The sequence below is a fragment of the Homo sapiens genome, chromosome 22 (genome assembly GCF_000001405.40).
Source record: "Homo sapiens chromosome 22, GRCh38.p14 Primary Assembly".
Taxonomy (NCBI): Eukaryota; Metazoa; Chordata; class Mammalia; order Primates; family Hominidae; genus Homo; species Homo sapiens.
Window position 1 is genome coordinate 23648303 of NC_000022.11, and position 20375 is coordinate 23668677.

Consider the following 20375-nt stretch of genomic DNA (forward strand, 5'->3'; position numbering starts at 1 on the left):
TAGGGCGATCTTGGCTCACTGCAACCTCCACCTCTGGGGTTCAAATGATTCTCCTGCCTCAGCCTCCCGAGTAGCTGGGATTACAGGTGTGTGCCACCACACACTATTTTTTTTTTTTTTGAGACGGAGTTTGAGATGGGGTTTCACCACGTTGGCCAGGCTGGTCTCGAACTCCTGGCCTCAGGTCATCCACCCACCTCAGCCTCCCAAAGTGCTGGGATCACAGGTGTGAGCCACCCGCCCAGCTTGGCTAGGTTTTTTTTTTTTTTTTTTTTTAATGCAGTAGCTGGGGTCTTGCTTTGTGCCCAGGCCTCCCAAAGTGCTAGGATTACAGGCATGAGCTGCCGCTCCTGGCCTAGGAGGTCACTGTGATACCCTGTTTGAAGGGGACAGGGCCTGGACAGGGCAGAGGCTGTGATAGGAGCCCCCTCTTCCCTTCCCATCTATGACTCTCAGTGTCCTTGCCCAGTTTTCTCCACTTCCATTTTATTTTTTATTTTTAGAGACAGGGTCTCACTCTGTTGTCCAGGCTGGAATGCAGGGGTGTGATCATAGCTCACCGCAGTCTCAATTCCTAGGCGCAAATGATCCTCTCACCTCAGCCTTACAAGCAGCTGAGACTATATGCATGGGCCACCATGCTGGGCTAGTTATTTTATTACTGGGTAGAGATGGGGTCTCCCTGTGTTACCCAGGCTGGTGTCAAACTCCTGGTCTCAAGCATCCTCGCACCTTGCCTTTCCAAAGTGCTGCGATTACAGGCGACCCCGCTCTGCCTCTCCAGTCCCTGACCGTCCCCACTGGCCAGCCCTGGAAAGCCCAGCAACAAGGGAGCCAGGGTGGGGCAGGAAACACGTAGCAGCCTCCTCTCGCGCCCACTTTATTTGGGGGCAGGCGTGGGAGGACCTAGGCCTGCTGTGCCTGTAGTAGCGCCCGCACCTGGCAGATCTGCCAGTCGACGCTGGAGTGCTCAGTGCCATCCAGGGCACTGTACTGCTCCACGCTGTGCCCGTATTCCCACATGCGGCTCATGTCGCCTGAGAACAGGGGGCTAAAGAGAGGAAGAGGTGGGCCAGGGTGCCAGGCCACCTGGAGACAGCGTGGGGAAGGGGGTGGGCCGCACCTGATGGTCTGCAGCTCCCGTAGTGACAGCTGGTTGAGGGCAACCCCCTTGGTCTCGGCCATGAACATGGCTTTCCTTGGAGGCCTCGTGGGCCTAGTGGAATGGCATCTGAGTGCCGGGCAGAAAGGTGGCACTGAGGCAGCTTCGTCCATGCCCTAATTTGCCTCCACTGCCTGCACCCTGTTTTTTTTTTTTTTTTTTTTTTTCGATACAAAATCTCACTCTGTTGCCCAGGCTGAAGTGCAGTGGCCTGAACTCACCTCACTGTAACCTCCACCTCCCTGTGGGAGAAGAGGAGCAGGGGCTCAGGTGGAGGCTCGGGCAAGGCCTGCCTGTGACACTGGGACCCTGCAGGCCTGGGTCACCCCTGGAAAAAGTGTCGTCCTGCAGCACTCCACCTGAATGAGGGATCCAGTGATCTCCCAGGACAAATCAGTCTTAAGGGAAAAAGAGGATGGAAGTGGGGCCATGTGAACCAAGGACTAGGTCTGAGCTGTGGGGCCTCCGGAGGTGAGGGTTTGCCAGGAACACCCGAAGGCTGAGCCTCTGTCACTCAGCATCTCCGAGCTGAGGCCAGAACAGGGGAGCAGGCCCGTGTTGGGTATGACTTGGCCATGGGAGGTTTCGTTTGAGGACCCCAGAAATAGCTGGGGCTCATTCAAGGGCTGCTCTGACCAGCTGAGACACCCTGCTCCTCATTCAAGTAGGTAGGGCAGAGGCAGAGGTGCTGTGAGTGATGGTCCTGTTTTCTTACTGTTTTTATTTTCAGAGACAGGGACTTTTCTGTTGCCCAGGGTGGAGTGCAGTGGCACGATCATAGCTCACTGCTGCCTCGATCTCCTAGGCTCAAGTGATCCTCCTGCCTCAGCCTCCTGAGTAGTTAGGACTACAGAGACATGCCACTATGTCCAGCTAATTTTTAATTTTTTGTAAAAATGGGGTCTTGCTATATTGCCCAGGGTGGTCTGAAACTCCTGGGTTCAAGCAATCCTCCTGCCCTGGCCTCCCAAAGGGCTGGGAATACAAATGTGAGCCACCACACCTGGCCTGTTTTTTGTTGCTGTTGTTGTTTTTGAGACAGCGTTTCACTCTTGTTGCCCAGGCTGGAGTGCAACGGCACGGTCTTGGCTCACTGCAACCTCCGTCTCCCAGGTTCAAGATTCTCCTGCCTCAGCTTCCCAAGTAGCTGGGATTACAGGTGCCCGCCACCACGCCAAGCTAATTTTTTGTATTTGTAGTAGAGATGGGGTTTCACCGTGTTCACCATGTTCACCAGGCTAGTCTCAAACTCCTCACTTCAGGTCATCCACCCGCCTTGGCCTCCCAAAGTGCTGGGATTACAGGCGTGAGCTACTGTGCCCGGCCTGTTGTTGTTTTAAATAAACCAGCTTTACTGAGATCTCATTCACAAATAATTTACCCATTTTAAGTTCACATTGTAGCGTACAACCATCACCAAAACCAATTTTAGAACATTTTCATCACCCCATAAAGAAATTCTGTACTCAAGGCCAGGCATTGTGGCTCAAGCCTATAATCCCAGCACTTTGGGAGGCCAAGAGGGAAGAATCACTTGAGGCTGGGAGTTTGAGACCAGCCTGAGCCACATAGTGAGACACCCCGTTTCTACAAAAAATTTTAAAAATTTGCAGGGAGTGGTGCACACCTGTGGTTCTAGCCACTCAGAAAGCTGAGGTGGGAGGATCATCTGCGTCCAGGAGTGTGGGCCTACAGTGAACTATTACTGAACCACTGCACTCCAGCCTAGGTGACAGAACAAGACCTCATCTCTAAAGACAATTTAAAAAGTCACAAAGTTAAAAATTAGGCCGGGTGCAGTGGCTTATGCCTCTAATCCTATCACTTTGGCAAGACAAGGCAGGCGGATCACCTGAGCTCAGGAGTTCGAGACCAGCCTGGCCAACAAGGCAAAACCCATCTCTACTGAAATAAATACTAAAATTCGCTGGATGTGGTGGCGCACACCTGTAATCCCAGCTACTTCGGAGGCTGAGGCACTGGAATTGCTTGAACCTGGGAGGCAGAGTTTGCAGTTAGCTGAGATCGTGCCACTGGACTCCAGACTAGGCGACAGAGTGAGACCCTATCTCAAAAGAAAGAAAAAAAAAATTAAAGAAACCCTGAACTCAGTAGCAGACACTCCCTGTTTCTCCTAGCAGCCCCGCCCCACCTACAGGGTGACAATTTGTGTGCCCTTGTTTCCCCCCAGGTCTGTGAACCAGGGGTCACAGGGAGTTGAGGAAGAGGAGGGGTCTCTGACAACACATCAGAGACTCCTCAGCAGCTCCCCATCCAGGTCTGCAAGGATCAAATCCAGTCCCAAAGACACCAGGTGAAAGCCTGGGATGAGGCCAATATGAGGCAGCCTTTGGCTCTTTTGCCAGATGGGCTAGATGGGGACGCGGAGCATGGGATGGGAGACGTGGGGCACAGGCAGGGTAGCAGGTGAGTCTGGCTGCTCCAGGCACAGCCAAGCTAGTGCCTTAGCTTCCTGCCCTTAAATCCGCAAAGGGTGAGTTTTCTATTTTATTTTTGAGACAAGGGTCTCGCTCTGTCGCCCAGGCTGGCAGTGGCTCAATCTTAGCTCACTGCAACCTCTGCTTCCTGGGTTCAAGCAGTTGTCCTGCCTCAGTCTCCTGAGTAGATTGGATTACAGGCGCCCACCACCACACCTGCCTAATTTTTGTATTTTTAGTAAAGATAAAGAGTTTCACCATGTTGGCCAGGCTGGTCTCGAACTCCTGACCCACCTGCCTCGGCCTCCCAAAGTGCTGGGATTACAGGCATGAACCCCTGCACCGGCCCCATGAAGGGTGAGTTTTCCTTGCCAGCTGAGCTAGACTGCCATGGGAATATTGCCGTCTGCAGGAAATGCCCCACTCCTGGCTGCTCTGCCTCGACCCTGGAGTTTTGGGATGCCCCGGTCCCCCAGGGCCTGGCACCCCCACCCTGTTCACCCCTGCCACCTAGGTCTGCTGTTCAGGCTGCCATCACACCTCTCTCTGCCCCCTGGGTGTCCCTTGGGTACTCACACCTCTGCCCAATCCCCCATAGTCCTGATGAGCTCCCAGAGGAGGCCCGAGAGCGTGAAGCAGGTCTGCCACATCCACAACCTGAGGTCCGTGACCACCTGTGCGAAAAGGAGGTAGTGCTCAGGGAAACTGACATATTACTTCCCTGGGGAGCCAGGACCACTGCTGAGCTCTGACTGCCCCCTGGGCTCCCCAAGGTTGGGACAGCATGGAGTTGGGGGGTGGAGGGGCTAGAGGCACCTGGTCATTCCAGCTCCATCCCATGTGCGCCTTCCCTGCGGTTTCACCAATGATCACAGAATGATGGTGCTAATGCTCAAAGTGGCCCCGCGCAAGGTGGAGAGGGGAGGCCAGGAAGGCAGTGGGGCTGCAGGGTTCGTACCTTCAGGTGGCACTTGTTGGCTGTGTGGATGTCCTCATCATTGGGGTTGAGTTTGAAGGTGCCCTGGGCCCACTCCTCAACCACCTATAGCACGTAGCAGCAATACCAGGGGTCAGGTGAGCAGGCATCAGCAGCCGAGAGCCCCTGCCCTGATCCCACCTTATTCCTGATGACTGACTGTCCCTGTCCAGGAGCTGAGTCCTGGAAGTGCACCCTGGGAGGGGGCATCTCGAGCCCAGCACACCTTTACCCATAAGCCATGTGGGCCACAGGGATCATTAAAGGAGAGAAGAGGTCAAGGCACACAGTTAAACAGCACTTGAGTATATAATTAGTTCAACGTAAAACCATCCATCTCGGCCTTGGCGAGGAGCCCTGCCTTCTCCATGCCCCGGCTGTAGGCTCTGCTGCCTTGAATATCCACCTCCCACAGGTGCTGGTCGTAGGCTGGATGTGTTGAACTTCTCCATGATGGGGTCCACTGCACCCACTCTGGCCAGGAGAGCAGAACAATTAGTCTCTCCTCCACCATCCAGAACAGTGCCTCTTGCAGAGTCTCCTTGGGAAACTTACCAAGTCTGATGGTAGCAGGGGCATGGGACCATCCTAACTGGGAAGACAAAAAGGCTGAGACCTTCCCAGAGTCACCTTGGGAGTGAGCATGGGAACATGGCTGAACACCAAGACAGAGCCAGGCTGGACTGCAGTAGTGCAACCTCGGCTCACTGCAACCTCCGCCTCCCGGGTTCGTGAGATTCTCCTGCCTCAGCCTCCCGAGTAGCTGGTATTACAGACACGCACCACCACACCTGGCTAATTTTTGGATCATTAGTACAGACAGGGTTTGACCATGTTGGCCAGGCTGGTCTTGAACTCCTGACCTCAGGTGATCCTCCCATCTCGGCCTCTGAAAGTGCTGGGATTATGGGCATGAGCCACTGCGTCTGGCCTTGAAGTTGGGGTCTTTCCCACCACATGGCACCACCCCAAGGAGATGGTGGCAGGGCCCGAGGCACCCCGGGACCAGAGCAGAGCTTCTGGAACCTTTCCTGCCACTGACCAAGGTGCCAGGTGCCATCCTAATTGATGACACAACTCTCTGGGGTAGGCACCAATACAATCCCACTATGAAGAGGGGGAAACTGAGGCACAGGGAGGCATGCAGCCTGCCCTTACCCGGGGAGGGAGAGCCAGGGCTGCAGCCCAGCAGTTTAAAGTCAGAACCCATGCTCTTCACCCCTGTTCCACCACGGCCTCTGAGCTTGGCTCTGGTGTCCTGAACTTTTGCTGCAGGGACAGGCAAGGAGGCACTGACGGTCTCCACCAAGCTTAAGTGCCCTGCAACTCTCTCCCTCACAGCTTGGAGTCAGACTAAGAGACTAAGATCCCAATTCCTACTGCTCCCTTGGCTCTGAAGAGCACTCTGACACCCCCCATTGTCACTGGCCTTCTAGGAGGTCACTGGGTGACCCTTACTCCCCAGGAGCCAAGGGTAGAGAGATGGTACGTAGGCATCTACATTTTGTTCTTATTTTTGAGACACGGAGTCTCACTTGGTCGCCCAGGCTGGAGTGCAGTGGTGCGATCTCGGCTCACTGCAACCTCCGTGTCCCAGGTTCAAGCCGATTCTCCTGCCTCAGCCTCCCAAGTAGCTAGAATTACAGGTATGTGCCATCACACCTGGTTGAGTTTTGTATTTTTAGTAGAGACGGGATTTCACCATGTTGGCCAGACTGGTCTTGAACTCCTGGCCTCAAGTGATCCACACACCTCAGCCTCCAAAGTGCTGGGATTACAGGCATGAGCCACCGAGCCCAGCCCATTTTGTTATTTAAAAAAAATTTTAATTCTTTTTTAGAGACAGGGTCTCACTCTGTTACCCAGGCTGGAGTGCAGTGGTGCCATCACAGTTTACTGTGGCCTCAAACTCCTGGGCTCAACCAATCCTCCTGTCTCAGCTTCCCCAGTAGTTCGGACTACAAGCATGTGCCACCACACCTATACATTTTTGAAAAATTTTGTAGGGCTGGGTGCGGTGGCTCACACCTGTAATCCCAGAACTTTGGGAGGCCGAGACAGGTGGATCACGAGGTCAGGAGATCGAGACCATCCTGGCTAACATGGTGAAATCCTGTCTCTACTAAAAATACAAAAATTAGCTGGGCATGGTGGTGCTCGCCTGTAGTCCCAGCTACTCAGGAGGCTTGGCAGGAGAATCGCTTGAACCCGGGAGGCAGAGGTTGCAGTGAGCCAAGATCGTGCCACTGCACTCCAGCCTGGGTGACAGAAGGAGACTCTGTCTAGGAAAAACAAAAATTTTGCAGAAAATATGTTGAGACAGGATCTATGTTGCCCAGGCTGGTCTTGAACTCCTGGGCTCAAGCAATCCTTCTGCTTCCGAAAGTGCTGGGATTATAGGCATAAGCCAAGGCGCTGGCCACATCTATGTTTTGAAAGCGGGCAGAGGCCAGGGCATGGGACAGATCGGGGAAGGGTACAGGGCACCTGGGAAGTAGTCCTAGTGCCCAGGACTGGGGGGGAGGGTGGGGTGGAGGTGGGCACGTCACTTGACTGACATCCTTTTTGTGGAAGGGACTCTACAATGGCCAATAGGGACATATGTCCTCCTCTGTCCCCCTGCAATGCCCCAGACCTCTGTTAACCACCTGGCCTGGGGCCTATTATAAAAACTCAGGGTTGGGAGGCCCAGATGGGTGGATCCCTTGAGGTCAGGAGTTTGAGACCAGCCCGGCCAACATGGGGAAACCCTGTCTTTACTGAAAATACAAAAATTAGCCAGGCGCAGTGGCGGGCAGCTATAGTCCCAGCTACTTGAAAGTCTGAAGCAGGAGATTCACCTGAACCCTGGAGGTGGAGGTTGCAGTGAACAGAGATGGCACCATTGCACTCCAGCCTGGGTGACAGAGCAAGACATCTTCTGAAAAATAATACAGTACCTATGTGATAGCCTTGTTTTGAGCATTCAATCAGGTAACATTTGCAAATTGCATGCATAACATGGTGCCTGGTGCTCAGGAAGGAATTGGGAAATGCCAGCAGTTACTAAGGGAGGGCAGGCAGGGGACAGGACATGTTTCAGCTCCACTCCTGGTTCTTGTGTGCACCCAGAGACCTCTACCGTGCTCTGGCCCTGAGCTGTGAACTGACCCCTCCATGCCCAACAGCCCCAGCTGCCAAAGGACTCTGCCCTGCAGAGGGAGCCTCCGCCCCCACCCCGTCTTTTGAGCTGGTCCTGCCCCTTACCCCACAAGCTGCCCCACCAAGCCTAGATCTCCAGCAAAGCACTAGGTGGGGCCTGGATCTTTCTGATCACTGGGGCCAGCCAGTCAGAATTGGAGCCAGCCTGCCCCTCAGCTGGGAGCCTGGCAGTACCTCCCCCAGCGGGGTCCTGGGCCACCCTGCCTGTATTATTAGTAATAAAAACTGCTAAATATGCAAGGCTGCAGCCAAACCAATTAGTGCCAACCTACAGGAAGGCCTGGGGCAGGCTGAGGTCACCTGGAGTGCTGGGCTGGTCCAACGGCAGACCACTCTGCTCTAGGACCAAGCGCCTATCCTTACTGGCAGGCATAATAGGATGCCACTGGGAGATCAGAGTGAGGTGCCTCCCCTTGGGCACTGAGGAGAAGGGAGGCCCAGTGTGGTAGCAGAAGGTGCTGCTCCGAGCCAGGACACTTCTGGGCCAGAATGGTCTCTTCAGGGCCAGGGGATGGGGCACTGAGTTGGGCTGGGTTGAATGAGCAACAGTCAAGGTCGAATGTACACGGGAAATATCAATTTTGGTTTTGGGGTTTGTTTTTGTTTGTTTGTGTTGGTTTGTTTTGAGACAGAGTCTGGCTGTTGCCCAGGCTGGAGTGCAGTGGCAAGATCTTCACTCACTACAACCTCCACCTCCCAGGTTCAAGCAATTCTCCTGCCTCAACCTCCCGAGTAGCTGGGATTACAAGCGCTTGCCACCACGCCAGGATAATTTTTCTATTTTTAGTAGAGATGTGGTTTCACCATGTTGGCCAGGCTGGTCTCAAACTTCTGACCTCGTGATCCACCCATCTCAGCCTCCCAAAGGTGCCGGAATTACAGGCATGAGCCACTGCACCCAGCCCGCCTGGCCCATTTTGTTTTTCTTTTCTTTTCTTTTTTTTTGAGATGAAGTTTTGCTCTTGTCACCCAGGCTGGAGTGCCATGGCATGATCTTGGCTCACTGTAACCTCCACCTCCCGGGTTCAAGTGGTTCTCCTGCCTCAGCCTACATAGTAGCTAGGATTACAGGCACCCACCACCACCCCCAGCCAATTTTTGTATTTTTAGTAGAGATGGGGTTTTACCATGTTGGCCAGGCTGGTCTGGAGCTCCTGACCTCAGGTGATCCGCCTGCCTTGGCCTCCCAAAGTGCTGAGATTACAGGTGTGAGCCACCCCTCCCGGCCCCTTGCCTGGCCCAATTTTTAATATATTACAGGATTGTGGCAACCTTGTGTTGAGCTAGTGTAGTATTGGTGCTATTTTTCCAACAGCACGTGCTCACTTGGTGTCTTTGTTCAACATTTCGGTAATTCTTATTGCATTTCAATAATTCTTATCGCCTCCCAAATTGCTAGGATTACAGGCGTGAGCCACGGCTCCTGGCTGTTTTTTTGTTTTTGTTTTGTTTTCTTTTGTTTTTTTTGAGATGAGATGGAGTCTCACTCTGTCTCCAGGCTGGAATGCAGTGGCACGATCTCGGCTCACGCAAACTCTGCCTCCCGGGTTGAAGCGATTCTTCTGCCTCAGCCTCCCGAGCAGCTGGGACTACAGGGGTGAGCCACCACGTCCGGCCTGGCTGTTTCTTTGTCCTCCTCCTCCTCTTCCTCCTCCGTTTCTTTTTCCTCCTCCTGTTTCTTTTTCCTCCTCCATTTCTTTTTCCTCCTCCTCCTCCTCCATTTCATTTTCCTCCTGCTCCTCCTCTTCCATTTCTTTTCCCTCCTCCTCCTGCTCCATTTCTTTTCCCTCCTCCTCCTCCACCTCCTCCTCCTCCAACTCCTTCTGCTCCGTTTCTTTTTCCTCCTCCTTTTTTTTCCCCTCCTCCGCTTCCTCCTCCTCCTCGTAGGCACGAGACACCATGACTGGCCTGGTTGTTTCCTTTTCCTCCTCCTGCTCCTCCTCCACCTCCCAAATTGCTGAGATTACAGGCATGAGCCACTGCACCTAGCTGTTTCTTCTTCTTTTTTCTCCTCTTCCTCTTCCTCCTCCTCCATTTTATTTTATTTTTAGATATGGAGTCTCACTCTGTTGCCCAGACTGGAGTGCAGTGGCCTCACTGCAACCTTCACTTGCCTGGATTCAAGCAATTCTGCCTCAGCCTAACAAGTATCTGGAATTACAGGCAGCAGCCACCATGCCCAGATAATTTTTGTATTTTTAGTAGAGACGGGATTTCACCATGTTGGCCAGGCTGGTCTCCAACTCCTGACCTCGTGATCCGCCCACCTCGGCTTCCCAAAGTGCTGGGATAACAGGCCTGACCCACTGCGCCCAGCCCGCCTGGCCCGTTTCTTTTGTTTTCTTTTTTTTTTTCTTAAAACAGAGTTTTGCTCTTGTTGCCCAGGCTGGAGTGCAAAGGTGCGATCTTCCCTCACCGCAACCTCCACCTCCCGGGTTCAAGCGATTCTCATGCCTTAGCCTTCCGAGTAACTGGGATTACAGGCACTTGCCACCACGCCTGCCTAATTTTTGTACTTTTAGTAGAGACAAGGTTTCTCCATGTTGGCCAGGCTGGTCTTGAACTCCTGACCTCAAGTGATCCGCCCTCCTCGGCCTCCCAAAGTTCTGGGATTACAGGCGTGGGTCACTGCGCTGGGCCTACAGCTCATTTCTTACCACATAAAGTTTTGCGCCTCTCCACAAAACTGCCATCAGGGATGTCCCCAGAAACCATTCATCCCAGGCGCCACGCAGAGAAGAGCTGCTTGTTCTCCTTTTCCCTTTACCTCTTCCATCTCACCTCATCTTGTTCATTCATTCATCCCTTTTCCATTCTCACTTTTAAGCGTTAACCTTTCAAAACCCTGTTTTCCCCTATAAGTAATGTCTTGTAACTCCCGCAATCACCATATCCTTCTCCAACCCACCAAACTGCCATCCTGAGTTTATGGTAAGTCCATAAACTAAGAAGAAATGGGAAACATTCATTGCAAACCTGGCAGCCCCTCATCCACCCAACGTGACAGCACAGATGTTCTTGTCTTTGAAGACCCCCTTTTTTTTTTTTTTAAGACAGGTCTCACTCTGTCACCCTGGCTCAAGTGCAGTGGTGTAATCATAGCTCACTGCAGCCCCCAACTCCTGTGCTCAGGCGATCTGCCTGCCTCAGCCACCCAAGCAGCTGGAACTACAGGAACACACCACCACACCTAGCTAATTTGCTTACTTTTTGTAGAGAAGGGGTCTTGCTATGCTTAGCAGACTGGTCTCGAACTCCTGGCCTCAAATGATCCTCCCACCTTGGCCTCCCAAAGTGCTGGGATTACAGGCATGAGTCACCATGCCCAGTCTAAAGACTTTTAAATGCTGCCATATTCAAGATGTGTTGAAACTCACCTGTATTCGATGAGCCTGCTTTTTGCAAGTGAGTAATATAAAACAGACTGAAATACCTTAAGCTTCTCAGGCTTTGTACCTTCCTAAAGTAAATCCATGAGGTCCAGTTTTTCCTTCCTCCTTGGCTATGAAATAGACAAGAAAAAGGCAAGCTAGCCATTTACATCTCACTATAGCAGACTCTCCTGTTTGCTTTTTGACTGTATTTGGGAAGCAGGGGCCTGACTGCTTTCCTACTTACTAAGCACAACTCACTTTTCCTAGGAAATCCTCAACGCAACCTGCATGGATTAAACCAGCTCCTCGCTTTGTTTCCAATATTCTTACAATCAAAGTGTCCAGAATGGGCAAGGCAACCTGAAAAAATGAGGACGGGTACATTATCCTATGAGCCAAACTGCCGCTTACACTGGTTAGTCATGAAATCGGCAAAATTCCAGATGAGCTCTCCAACCACGTATTTTCTGAGTTTTTGATCCAGACCCAGATGGTACTGCTCTAGCAGACTTTTCTGGTAGTCTTCACTGAACATCAGAGGTGGATCCTGGGATTCAAGGCAAAGAGAATTTAAGAGTCAGAACTGGCAGAATTGTAAATGTTAGATAAAAAATAAAGATCCACTTGATGGTGACCAAAATATCTGTCCTCGCAGGGGGCTATAGTGACTGCAGGACTCACTGATGCTAGGGTAAAGACAGCCAGGGAATGATGTAACCCAGAGTTAAAAAGGAGGTTTAAAAAAACAACATATTAATTAGTAACTGCTTTATTTATAAATGTAATCTGATATTCACTTTTTCTTACTTTTCCGTCTCTATCTGCTGGTACAGTCTTAAGGCTGAACTACGTTAGAAGTAAAAATATGACTTTGGGCCAGGTGCACTGGCTCATGCCTGTCATCCCAGCACTTTGGGAAACTGAAGTGGGAGGACTGCTTGAGCCTAGGAGTTCAAGACCAGCCTGGGAAACATAGCAAGACCCCATCTCTACAAAAAGTACAAAAATTAGCCAAGCATGGTGGAACACAACTGTGCTCCCAGCTACTTGGGAGGCTGAGGTGGGAGGACTGCTTGAGCCCTGGAGGTCGAAGCTGCAGCGAGCTGTGTTTCCACCACGGCACTCCAGCCTGGGTGACAGAGTGAGACCCTATCTTAAATAAATAAATAAATGTATGTATGTAAAATTAAATTAAACCAGGCTGGGCATGGCAGCTCAGGTCTGCAATCCCAGCACTTTGGGAGGTCGAGGCAGGAGGATCACTTGAGCCCAGAAGTTCAAGACCACCCTAGACAACCAGTGAGACCCAGTCTCTACAAAAAGTCTAAATATTAGCCACGTGTGGTGGCACATGCCTGCGGTTCCAGCTACTTGCGGGGCTGAGGAGGGAGGATCGTTTGAGCCCAGGAGGTTGAGCAGTGAGCTGTGATAACGCCACTGCACTCCAGCCTGGGCAACACAGTGAGGCTGTCTCAAAAAAAAATTTTTTTTTAATTAAACTAAATAAAGTTATCCTAGTCATATGTCAAGACCTCAATAGCCACATGGTCCCAAAACCTCTGGATAAAACCTAATTCCCAAAACCTGTGGATATTACCTTATACAACACAAGAGTGACTAATACCTTAAGTGGAAAAGTATGTTAAAGATTTTTTTTTTTTTTTTGAGACAGAGTCTCACTCTGTTGCCCAGGCTGGAGTGCAATGGCGTGGTCTGAGCTCACTGCAACCTCCGCCTCCCAGGTTCCAGTGATTCTTGTGCCTCAGTCTCCTGAGACTACAGGTGTTCGCCACCATGCCCAGCTAATTTTTTTTGTACTTTTAGTAGGGATGAGGTTTCACCGTGTTGTTCAGGCTAGCCTCGAATTCCTGGCCTCAAGTGATCTGCCTGCCTTGGCCTCCCAAAGTGCTGGGATCACAGGTGTGAGCTACCCTGCCCGGCCTTTTTTGCATTTTTTTTTTTTTTTTTTTGAGAGTGAGTCTTGCTCTATCACCCAGGCCGGAGTGTGTGGCACAATCTCGGCTCACTGCAATCTCCACCTCCCAGGTTGAAGCGATTCTCCTGCCTCAGCCTCCTGAGTAGCTAGGATACAGGCATGCGCCACCATGCCCAGTTAATTTTTGTATTTTTAGTAGAGATGGTGTTTTACTGTGTTGGCCAGGCTGGTCTCCAACTCCTGACCTCAAGTGATCCACCCTCCTTAGCCTCCCAAAGTGCTGGGATTACAGGCATGAGCCACCGCACCCGGCCTAAAGTATGTTAAAGATTTTGAGAGGAGGAGATGATCCTGGATTATCTAGATGTGCCCTGAATGTGACCACAGTGTCCTTGTAAGACAGACACACAGAGGAGAGGACACACAGCAGAGGAGAAACCAGTATGACCATGGAGACAGAGACTGGAGTGAGGCAGCCACAAGCCAATGAATGCTGGCAGCCACAGGAAGTGGGAAGAGACTGTGAAAATTGTCAAAATAGAGCTGCGGCCACACACAGTGGCTCACACCTGTAGTCCCAGCACTTTGGGAGGCCGAGGTGGGTGGATCACCTGAGGTCAGGAGTTCGAGACCAGCCTGACTAACATGGTGAAACCCCATCTCTACAAAAATACAAAAGTTATCTGGGCATGATGGCGGGTGCCTGTAATCCCAGCTACTGGGGAGGCTGAGGCGGGAGAATTGCTTGAACCCAGGAGGCGGAGGTTGCAGTGAGCCGAGATTCCGCCACTGCACTCCAGCCTGTGCAACAGAGCAAGACTCCATCTCAAAACAAAACAAAACAAAACAACAAAAAACAACTCTGAAAAATAGAGCCAGGGAAAGGCCATGAAGAGAGGACTCTCGTGCACAAGTGCCCCATTCTCGGCTGGGTGTGGTGGCTCATGCCTGTAATCCCAGCACTTTGGGAGGCTGAGGTGAGAGGATTGAGGTAAGAGGATTGCTTCAGTCCAGGAGGCTGAGGCTACAGTGAGCCTTGACAGTGCAACTGCACTCCAGCCCAGGTGATAGAGCAAGACCCTACCTCAAAAACACAACTCACAACATTACACAAAGGCCATCACAACCTTACACAAAAAATACTTCTGCAAAGACATCTGCCCAGGAGTGGCCTGTCCAGCCTCAGACTAGTGTCACCCTTATCACTGATCCTAGTAGCCAAGGATGATAATTCCAAAACAGTTATATACCAAAGCTAAGCTATGAGGAAGCAAACACATAAGAATGATATAATGGGCCGGGCGCAGTGGCTCATGCCTGTAATCCCAGAACTTTGGGAGGCTGAGGCGGGTGGATCACCTAAGGTCAGGAGTTTGAGACCAGTCTGGAGAACATGGTGAAACCCCGTCTCTACCAATAACACAAAAATCAGCCAGGCATGGTAGTCCCAGCTACTCGGGAGGCTGAAGCAGGAGAACCTCTTGAACTGGGAGGTGGAGGTTGCAGTGAGCCAAGACTGCACCATTGCACCCCACTCCAGCCTGAAAGACAAGAGCAAAACTCTATCTCAAAAAAAAAAAAAAAAAAGGGTCTGGGAGCCAAGATGGCCGAATAGGAACAGCTCCAGTCTACAGCTCCCAGCATGAGTGACGCAGAAGACAGTGATTTCTGCATTTCCAACTGAGGTACCGGGTTCATCTCACTGGGGAGTGCCAGACAGTGGGTGCAGGACAGTGGGTGCAGGACAGTGGGTGCAGCGCACTGTGCGTGAGCTGAAGCAGGGCGAGGCATCGCCTCACCTGGGAAGTGCAAGCGGTCAGGGAATTCCCTTTCTTAGTCAAAGAAAGGGGTGACAGGCGGCACCTGGAAAATCGGGTCACTCCCACCCAATACTGTGCTTTTCCAACGGGCTTAACAAACGGCACACCAGGAGATTATATCCCGCACATGGCTCGGAGGGTCCTACGCCCACGGAGCCTCGCTCATTGCTAGCACAGCAGTCTGAGATCAAACTGCAAGGCGGCAGCGAGGCTGGGGGAGAGGCACCCACCATTGCTGAGGCTTGAGTAGGTAAACAAAGCAGCCGGGAAGCTCGAACTGGGTGAGGCCCACCACAGCTCAAGGAGGCCTACCTGCCTCTGTAGGCTCCACCTCTTGGGGCAGGGCACAGACAAACAAAAGGCAGCAGTAACCTCTGCAGACTTAAATGTCCCTGTCTGACAGCTCTGAAGAGAGTAGTGGTTCTTCCAGCACGCAGCTTCAGATCTGAGGATGGGCAAACTGCCTCAAGTGGGTCTGTGACCCCCGAGTAGCCTAACTGAGAGGCACCCCCAGTAGGGGCAGACTGACACTTCACACAGCCGGGTACTCCTCTGAGACAAAACTTCCAGCAGAATGATCAGGCAGCAGCATTTGCGGTTCACCAATATCCGCTGTTCTGCAGCGACTGCTGCTGATACCCAGGCAAACAGGGTCTGGAGTGGACCTCCAGCAAACTCCAACAGACCTGCAGCTGAGGGTCCTGACTGTTAGAAGGAAAACTAACAAACAGAAAGGACATCCACGCCAAAAACCCATCTGTACGTCACCATCATCAAAGACCAAAGGTAGATAAAACCACAAAGATGGGGAAAAAACAGAGCAGAAAAACTGGAAACTCTAAAAATCAGAGTGCCTCTCCTCCTCCAAAGGAATGCAGCTCCTCACCAGCAATGGAACAAAGCTGGACAGAGAATGACTTTGACGAGTTGAGAGAAGAAGGCTTCAGAAGATCAAACTACTCGGAGCTAAAGGAGGAAGTTCGAACCAATGGCAAAGAAGTTAAAAACCTTGAAAAAAAATTAGACGAATGGCTAACTAGAATAACCAATGCAGAGAAGTCCTTAAAGGACCTGATGGAGCCGAAAACCACGGCACAAGAACTACGTGACGAATGCACAAGCCTCAGTAGCCGATGCGATCTACTGGAAGAAAAGGTATCAGTGATGGAAGATGAAATGAATGAAATGAAGTGAGAAGTTTAGAGAAAAAAGAATAAAAAGAAAGGAACAAAGCCTCCAAGAAATATGGGACTATGTGAAAAGACCAAATCTATGTCTGATTGGTGTACCTGAAAGTGACAGGGAGAATGGAACCAAGTTGGAAAACACTCTGCAGGATATTATCCAGGAGAACTTCCCCAATGTAGCAAGGCAGGCCAACATTCAAATTCAGGAAATACAGAGAACGCCACAAAGATACTCCTCAAGAAGAGCAACTCCAATACACATAATTGTCAGATTCACCAAAGTTGAAATGAAGGAAAAAATGTTAAGGGCAGCCAGAGAGAAAGGTCGGGTTACCCACAAAGGGAAGCCCGTCAGACTAACAGCTGATCTCTCAGCAGAAACCGTACAAGCCAGAAGAGAGTGGGGGCCAATATTCAACATTCTTAAAGGAAAGAATTTTCAACCCAGAATTTCATATCCAGCCAAACTAAGCTTCATAAGTGAAGGAGAAATAAAATACTTTACAGACAAGCAAATGCTGAAAGATTTTGTCACCACCAGGCCTGCCCTAAAAGAGCTCCTGAAGGAAGCACTAAACATGGAAAGGAACAACTGGTACCAGCCACTGCAAAAGCATGCCAAATTGTAAAGACCATCGAGGCTAGGAAGAAAGTGCATCAACTAGCGAGCAAAATAACCAGCTAACATCATAATGACAGGATCAAATTCACACATAACAATGTTAACCTTAAATGTAAATGCACTAAATGCTCCGATTAAAAGACACAGACTGGCAAATTGGATAGAGTCAGGACCCATCAGTGTGCTGTATTCAGGAAACCCATCTCACGTGCAGAGACACACACAGGCTCAAAATAAAGGGATGGAGGAAGATCTACCAAGCAAATGGAAAACAAAAAAAGGCAGGGGTTGCAATCCTAGTCTCTGATAAAACAGACTTTAAACGAACAAAGATCAAAAGAGACAAAGAAGGCCATTACATAATGGTAAAGGGATCAATTCAACAAGAAGAGCTAACTATCCTAAATATATATACACCCAATACAGGAGTACCCAGATTCATAAAGCAAGTCCTTAGTGACCTACAAAGAGACTTAGATTCCCACACAATAATAATGGGAGACTTTAACACCCCACTGTCAACACTAGACAGATCAACGAGACAGAAAGTTAACAAGGATATCCAGGAATTGAACTCAGCTCTGCACCAAGCGGACCTAATAGACATCTACAGAATTCTCCACCCCAAATCAACAGACTATACATTCTTTTCAGCACCACACCACACCTACTCCAAAATTGACCACATAGTTGGAAGTAAAGCACTCCTCAGCAAATGTAAAAGAACAGAAGTTATAACAAACTGTCTCTCAGACCACAGTGAATCGAACTAGAACTCAGGATTAAGAAACTCACTCAAAACCACTCAACTACATGGAAACTGAACAACCTGCTCTTGAATGACTACTGGGTACATAACAAAATGAAGGCAGAAATAAAGATGTTCTTTGAAACCAACGAGAACAAGGACACAACATACCAGAATCTCTGGGACACGTTCAAAGCAGTGTGTAGAGGGAAATTTATAGCACTAAATGCCCACAAGAGAAAGCAGGAAAGATCTAAAATTGACACCCTAACATCACAATTAAAAGAACTAGAGAAGCAAGAGCAAACAGATTCAAAAGCTAGCAGAAGGCAAGAAATAACTAAGATCAGAGCAGAACTGAAGGAAATAGAGACACAAAAAACCCTTCAAAAAAAAATCAATGAATCCAGGAGCTGGTTTTTTGAAAAGATCAACAAAATTGATAGACCACTAGCAAGACTAATAAAGAAGAAAACAGGGAAGAATCAAATAGACGCAATAAAAAATGATACAGGGGATATCACCACCGATCCCACAGAAATACAAACTACCATCAGAGAATACTATAAATGCCTCTACGCAAAAAAAAACTAGAAAATCTAGAAGAAATGGATAAATCCCTAGGCACATACACCCTCCCAAGACTAAACTAAGAAGAAGTTGAATCTCTGAATAGACCAATAACAAGCTTTGAAATTGAGGCAATAATTAATAGCTTACCAACCAAAAAAAGTCCAGGACCAGATGGATTCACAGCCGAATTCTACCAGAGGTACAAGGAGGAGCTTGTACCATTCCTTCTGAAACTATTCCAATCAACAGAAAAAGAAGGAATCCTCCCTAACTCATTTTATGAGGCCAGCATCATCCTGATACCAAAGCCTGGCAGAGACACAACAAAAAAAGAGAATTTTAGACCAATATCCTTGATGAACATTGATGCAAAAATCCTCAATAAAATACTGGCTAACCGAATCCAGCAGCACATCAAAAAGCTTATCCAGCATGATCAAGTGGGCTTCATCCCTGGGATGCAAGGCTGGTTCAACGTACGAAAATCAATAAACGTAATCCAGCATATAAACAGAACCAAAGACAAAAACCACATGATTATCTCAACAGATGCAGAAAAGGCCTTTGACAAAATTCAACAACACTTCATGCTAAAAACTCTCAATAAATTAGGTATTGATGGGACATATCTCAAAATAATAAGAGCAATCTATGACAAACCCACAGCCAATATCACAGTGAATGGACAAAAACTGGAAGCATTCCCTTTGAAAACTGGCACAAGACAGGGATGCCCTCTCTCACCACTCCTATTCAACATAGTGTTGGAAGTTCTCGCCAGGGCAATCAGGCAGGAGAAGGAAATAAAGGGCATTCAATTAGGAAAAGAGGAAGTCAAATTGTCCCTGTTTGCAGATGACATGATTGTTTATCTAGAAAACCCCATCGTCTCAGCCCAAAATCTCCTTAAGCTGATAAGCAACTTCAGCAAAGTCTCAGGATACAAAATCAATGTGCAAAAATCACAAGCATTCTTATACACCAATAACAGACAAACAGAGAGCCAAATCACGAGTGAACTCCCATTCACAATTGCTTCAAAGAGAATAAAATACCTAGGAATCCAACTTACAAAGGATGTGAAGGACCTCTTCAAGGAGAACTACAAACCACTGCTCAATGAAATAAAAGAGGATACAAACAAATGGAGGAACATTCCATGCTCATGGATAGGAAGAATCAATATCGTGAAAATGGCCATACTGCCCAAGGTAATTTATAGATTCAATGCCATCCCCATCAAGCCACCAATGACTTTCTTCACAGAATTGGAAAAAACTACTTTAAAGTTCATATGGAACCAAAAAAGAACCCACATTGCCAAGTCAATCCTAACCAAAAAGAACAAAGCTAGAGGCATCACGCTACCTGACTTCAAACTATACTACAAGGCTACAGTAATCAAAACAGCATGGTACTGGTACCAAAACAGAGATATAGACCAATGGAACAGACCAGAGCCCTCAGAAATAATGCCGCATACCTACAACTATCTGATCTTTGACAAACCTGACAAAAACAAGCAATGGGGAAAGGATTCCCTATTTAATAAATGGTGCTGGAACAACTGGCTAGCCATATGTAGAAAGCTGAAACTGGATCCCTTCCTTACACCTTATATAAAAATTAATTCAAGATGGATTAAAGACTTACATATTAGACCTAAACCATAAAAACCCTAGAAGAAAACCTAGGCAATACCACTCAGGACATAGGCATGGGCAAGGACTTCATGTCTAAAACACCAAAACCAATGGCAACAAAAGCCAAAATTGACATATGGGATCTAATTAAACTAAAGAGCTTCTGCACAGCGAAAGAAACTACCATCACAGTGAACGGGCAACCTACAGAATGGGAGAAAATTTTTGCAACCGACTCATCTGACAAAGGGCTAATATCCAGAATCTACAATGAACTCAAACAAATTTACAAGAAAAAAACAAACAATCCCATCAAAAAGTGGGCAAAGGATATGAACAGACACTTCTCAGAAGAAGACATTTATGCAGCCAAAAGACACATGAAAAAATGCTCATCATCACTGGCCATCAGAGAAATGCAAATCAAAACCACAATGAGATACCATCTCACACCAGTTAGAATGGCGATCATTAAAAAGTCAGGAAACAACAGGTGCTGGAGAGGATGTGGAGAAATAGGAACACTTTTACACTGTTGGTGGGACTGTAAACTAGTTCAACCATTGTGGAAGTCAGTGTGGCAATTCCTCAGGGATCTAGAACTAGAAATACCATTTGACCCAGCCATTCCATTACTGGGTATATACCCAAAGGATTATAAATCATGCTGCTATAAAGACACATGCACACGTATG

General features: G+C 49.1%; 2 pseudogenes across 1 annotated transcript in view, besides 1 other annotated feature; both read right to left on the reverse strand.

Annotated features, from left to right (window-relative positions):
- Positions 1-20375, reverse strand: part of GUSBP11 (GUSB pseudogene 11) — a 78937-nt pseudogene that overhangs the window by 9816 nt on the left and 48746 nt on the right. The window contains exon 11 of the transcript NR_024448.2: positions 11563-11698. The product of NR_024448.2 is annotated as a GUSB pseudogene 11 (transcript). The remainder of the gene's footprint in view (positions 1-11562; positions 11699-20375) is intronic.
- ASLP1 (argininosuccinate lyase pseudogene 1) lies at positions 367-5057 on the reverse strand (annotated as a pseudogene).
- Positions 1066-1565: an enhancer, noted in NCBI's record as "H3K4me1 hESC enhancer chr22:23991555-23992054 (GRCh37/hg19 assembly coordinates)". NCBI's record gives its function as "activates a minimal SCP1, AML or CMV promoter by ChIP-STARR-seq in primed H9 embryonic stem cells {active_cell/tissue: H9 hESC(primed)}" and the evidence as "EXISTENCE:reporter gene assay evidence [ECO:0000049][PMID:30033119]".